Source organism: Homo sapiens, chromosome 12 (genome assembly GCF_000001405.40).
Source record: "Homo sapiens chromosome 12, GRCh38.p14 Primary Assembly".
NCBI classification, from domain to species: domain Eukaryota; kingdom Metazoa; phylum Chordata; class Mammalia; order Primates; family Hominidae; genus Homo; species Homo sapiens.
Window position 1 is genome coordinate 91,776,525 of NC_000012.12, and position 5,746 is coordinate 91,782,270.

The window sequence follows — 5,746 nt, forward strand, 5'->3', positions numbered from 1 at the left end:
CTCACAAACATGTAAGTTCCACAAGAATACAGATTTTTATTCACTGATGTATTTCAAATACCTAAAACAGTGCCTAGTATTGAGTAATATTTATTGAATATAGAAATAAAGTTTTAGTATTGTTTTGCAAAGATTCTATTTTGAAAAAAAACAGCACAAAATAGTATTTTTGGGCTGAATTCATAAAAATTATTGAAGACATTTTAATTAATGATAAATTAGCAGTTTAAATACAGTAAACTAAAACAAAGCAAGCCTATCTTTTTCATTGTTTTGAGCTCTTGATTTTGTTTTTACCTAAAACTGCTTGTTTTAGTTGAATCATGCTCTGTTTTCCTTTGGTCGTTCAGCAGTGATGTTTTCTGCACACAGGTCTTCAAATAGCTATGAAGAACTTGGTTGTGTGTTTGACTATCTTTTTTCAATTAAATTTCCTCAAGAACACAGTCTTTCATACATGTCCTGCTCAGGGAATAAACTTGAAGTTCTGCAGCCTTTTTTTTTTTTTTTTTTGAGACAGGGTCTTACTCTTTTCCCCAGGGTGGAGTGCAGTGGCGTGATCTTGGCTCACTGCAGCCTCAAACTCCTGGGCTCAAGCAATCCTCCCATCTCAGCCTCCCAAGTAGCTGGGACTACAGTCATGTGCTGCCATGCCTGGCTAATTTTTTTTTTTTTTTTTTGTAGAGATGGAGGGGTCTCACTCTGCTGTGTAGGCTGGTCCCAAACTCCTGGGCTCAGGTGATCCTCCCACCTCAGCCCTCTAGTAGCTGGGACTGCTTGTGGGAGCCACCATGCCCAGCTAATTTTTGTATTTTTTGTAGAGATAGGGTTTCATCATGTTGCCCAGATTGGTCTTGAACTCCTGGGTTCAAACAATCCTCCCACCTCTGCCTCCCAAAGTGCTGGGATTACAGGTGTGAGTCACCATGCCCAGCCGAGTTCTATAACCTTGAGGACTGTAAATACCTATAATATTTGGCCTTCATCACACAATGGTGTATTTTAAAGAATGAAACATTTAGGGTCTCTGCATAGCTTCACAGCGATGACCTACACCAGGGTTTCTCAAAGTAATGTCCAGTAGTTCCCCTTATCCAGTAGCCTTGATTTTACTTTCCAAGACTTCAGTTACCTGTAATTAATCACGGTCCAAAAATATTAAATGGAAAATCCAGGAGTAAACAAGTCGTATGTTTTAAATTGCGTGCCATTCTAAGGAGCTGATAAAATCTCCCAACGTCCCCACTCCAACTTGCTCAGGACATGAATCATCCCTTGTCCAGGTATCCATCTTGTACTCACCACATGCCTATTAGTCACTAGTCACTGTCTTGGTGATCAGATTGACTGTTGAAGTATCTCAGTGCTTATGTTCAAGTAACTCTTATTTTACTTTTATTACAATAGATCAATTTTATTACTAGTTAATGCTGTTGATCTCTCACTGTGCCTAATTTATAAATTCAATTTTATCGTAGATAGGTAGGAAAAAAGTAGTATATATAGAATTTGGTACTATTCAAGGTTTCAGGCATCCGCTGGAGGTCTTGAAACATACCTTCTAAGGACAGGGGGAATAATGTATATGCAAATCACACGGGAATATTTTAAAATGTACTTTGTGAATAGGGAGAACTGGGGTGCAGCCCTACATACTGCATTTATAATCAGTTCCCACTTAATGCTGATGTTATTGTTTCAAAAAACACCTTTTGAGTAGCAAAAGCCCAGATGACAATTTCTTATTTGCATTAGCCTATTTCCTCCTCAGTTGAATTTCAATTTGATTTCTCAAAGGGCAAAAGGGGAAGAACTTATACACATATGTTTCATAGTTTAAAACCTAAGTCTGGTCACATTTTTACTCAATGATATTAAGTATAGATTTCAAGTTTGCATACAGTAGCATTTACTATAAAATAGGAGAATGTTACTTTTTAGGAATAATCTAAGGACAGGTGTAGATGTTATTTTTTAATGAGGTTCAAATTTAGCACTGTAATGAACCTCACTGAAAAAGTAAAGCAGGAAATGGCAGATTTGTTTTGATAGAAACCAAGAATTTTAAGTGTGTGTTGGCTTTACACTGTCTTTGAAACTGTGCTATGAAAACACAGGATCCAGGAAATGAGCCCAGCCAAGTGATTCCACTCTCTAAAGATGTCAAAGTCGGTTCTCTGCAATATCCAAATGTTCCTCTTTTGGAAGTGAAATGAGGAAAGGCCTATATAATTTCTAGCTGAGTAAACGAAGAGTGCTTTATTCTCTTATAAATCAGTTACAGTCCCTTAAATAAAAGCATGCTTCCTCCTGAAAGCAGCTGAAAGTTTCATCTCTTTAGAAGAGGCTTTGTTTTCTCTGAAAATGGGCAGGGGGACTAATTAAATTAATTTTTCTTTGTTCCTTTAAGAAAAATAAACTTAAAGAAACGGAGTATCTGGGTGTGTATGTGGAAGAAAGTGACTAGCTCTGATGACCAGGCACGTCACAGTTTCTTGTTTTGACTCAAGAATGATAAAACAGTAATGGCTTTGACCCATTGCCCTGCTGATGTGCTGATATGAGTTTGCCATTGGTCACTGGAAGATCAAGGTCTGCCTTTCTGCTGACCAAGCATTCTCCTAACTATTAGTCACTGTCTTCACTTAGAGCTCTCTTTCATGACTCAGTGCAGCTCTCACATTTGGGCTGGGCAAAACGGAAGTTCTTACTTAATTCAACCTGCTGCAATAAAAATTGAAACAAACACGTCGCATTCTCCTTTTTCTTAAAAATTTTGGTAACATCACTGTGACTAGAGCAGTTAGAGAAACTCTAAAGCAGAAAATAAGAAAATCATTGCTTAATGTGGGATTTCGATGTGGCAGAGTGAGAGTTTTTACGGCTATACTGACACAGAAGCATTTGCCTTTGAAAATGGGTAAACTGAGCTTAACATTTTCATGAGGCAAATTAGATGTAATATCTCAATATCTCATAATTTTCCTCTCAGAGAACATCTGTTTTCTGAAGGAAAGCTGGCAAACCGTGTTGCAATTAGAAGCTGAGACCATTTATAGTGAAGTGAACCTCAGATTACTGAGGTTGACACTCTAAAGCAGGGATTCTTTACCTAGGAATCATGCCTATATTATTACACTCTGAAATCATGTAGGACACTGGTGTAATTTACTAGGAGAGGGGACATTAATTTTCATCTTTGTCCAATGGTTCTGTGATTCTCCAAATAGGTGAATAACCATTTCACTAGTGTCTATCAGCATTTAAAACATTCATGACTTTGAGCTAAATATCCTGTTTCCAGGGATTAATCCTACACAAATATTTATCCTGGTGAACAAGATATTTTAAAATATTATGGCATGTTTATATTATGGAAAACTCTAGTAAGATTAAAAATAATAAAGCTCACTTGGGAAACTGTCTAAGATGTATTAACTTAAGAGTAATTTGTTCATCAGATAATCAATTAAGCATCAACAATGTCAGGCACTGTGTTTGCTACTAGGAATAAAAGTAAACAAATACTGACCTTTTTTATTTTTATGATACTTGAAGTCTACAAGAGATCAATATGTATTTATAATATGTAAATAAAAATATGGGTTAGTGATTGCTTGCAGGTGTTTATTTACATATACTTATCAAAACTCTGGAAGCATATATATCAAGAAGTAAGATTTTAAAATCTGAGACTTGAAAAGGAGATGAGGAGAGATTTTTAGTTTTTTCTTCTATTTTGTTTGATTTTATTAAATACAATATATTACTTTTGTAATACCTCAATGCTTATTTTAACCATTTATTAAAACTCTGGGCTGAGGTAGGGAAATGTACAACATTAAACTGAGTGTTGGCTCTGGTTGTTGCAGTCTTCACAGTAAAAAAACAACACATAAGTTTTGGGTTTTTTTTTTTTTTAATGAGTTTTTGACTGATCTTAAACAACCGGCTAAATTACGTTTTGTATTTAAGATAATTTTGTCCACTAGATCACTATTCTGTTCTTGTACACACAAACCCTCTGGTCTTCAAGAATGTGGCTGACATATCAGATAGTTTATGAATCCACAGTGTCATTTGGTGTGCAAAACACTGACCTTAACCCTTAAAGAATAATCAATTATTGGGGTTAAATCTGCAAGTGTTTTATTTAGTATCTAACCACCAACTATATGCCCTTGAAGAACTTTTCTGGTATTATTTTTTTACTCTCCAAAAGCTCAGGCCTTGATACTTGAGTATTATTTATGTCATATTTTACTTATGTAAGTCTTTGTGTGAAGGCCTCCAAAGATATCGTGCCTATTTTGTGATCTTGTTGTTTATAGACTCTTCTATGAAAGCAAAATATATGCATTTGGCTGAGTACATTTGGAGCCAAGGTAGGGGAGCTGGAATAGAAGAGTCCTTGAATGGTATTTGAGCATTATCTTTTTTAAAGAAAACATTTAAAAAGCACATTAAAAATTACTCTTGCATGTTACTTTAGACAGAGAGATCCCTAACATTCGTTGCTTTCTAATTTTCCTCTCCTTCTGGGGATACAATTGTGTCACACTTTCTAGCCACTTTGTAGTTTGATGGGGCCACATGCTGGTGATGGCCAATGGACTGTGTGTAAACAGATGTGCATTAATTCTGAACCAAACCCTGAACAGAGAAAATCCTTCCATCACACCTTCTCCCCTTCTCCCTTTCCTGGTGAATCTGAAAGCCACACTATAGCCAGAACATGCAGCTATAAGGTGGAGCTGTCCAATAGCTCCTTTGTTAGCCTAGATCTCTGAGTGTAGGAGCTTCATGGATACTAGCCACCTTGGAGAGTGGCATGGATCATAAGCATAAGAAATAGGGCTGTGGTATGTTTGCAACGGAGACTTCAGTGCTGTTTTTTCCTGATGCGTAATCCAGCCTCTTCTGACTAACAGCCATGTCTGTGCCTCATGAAATTTCAGTTACTTTTAATTTAATTTTGTTTAAAATATAGCTTTTAAGAGTCTGATACATACTAGGCACTGTGTTTGGTGCCAGGAATACAAAGATAAAAAATCTCATATTGAATGGGCAAAAACTGGAAGCATTCCCTTTGAAAACCAGCACAAGACAAGGATGCCCTCTCTCACCACTCCTATTTAACATAGCATTGGAAGTTATGGCCAGGGCAATCAGGCAAGAGAAAGAAATAAAGGGTATTCACAGAGGAGGAGAGGAAGTCAAATTGTCTCTGTTTGCAGATGACATGATTGTATATTTAGAAAACCCCATCGTCTCAGCCCAAAATCTCCTTAAGCTGATAAGCAACTTCAGCAAAATCTCAGGATACAAAATCAATGTGCAAAAATCACCAGCATTCCTACATACCAATAACAGGCAAGCCGAGAGCCAAATCATGAATGAACTCCCATTCACAATTGCCACAAAAAGAATAAAATACCTAGGAATAGAGCTAACAAGGGAAGTGAAGGACCTCTTCAAGGAGAACTACAAACCACTGCTCAAAGAAATCAGAGATGATAAAAACAAATGACAAAACATTCCATGCTCCTGGATAGGAAGAATTAGTATCATGAAAATGGCCATAGTGCCTAAAGCAATTTATAGATTCAATGCTAATTCAATTAAACTACATTCTTTACAGAATTACATTGACATTCTTTACAGAATTAGAAAAAAAACTATTTTAAAATTCATATGGAACCAAAAAAGAGCCCATATGGCCAAAACAATCCTAAGCAAAAAGAAC

The 5,746-nt window shown here is 36.4% G+C and overlaps 1 annotated feature.

Annotated features, from left to right (window-relative positions):
• Positions 1,800-2,999: an enhancer, noted in NCBI's record as "BRD4-independent group 4 enhancer chr12:92172101-92173300 (GRCh37/hg19 assembly coordinates)". NCBI's record gives its function as "activates an origin of replication core promoter dependent on BRD2, P300/CBP, MED14 and CDK7 cofactors, and independent of BRD4, by STARR-seq in HCT116 cells {active_cell/tissue: HCT116}" and the evidence as "EXISTENCE:reporter gene assay evidence [ECO:0000049][PMID:35650434]".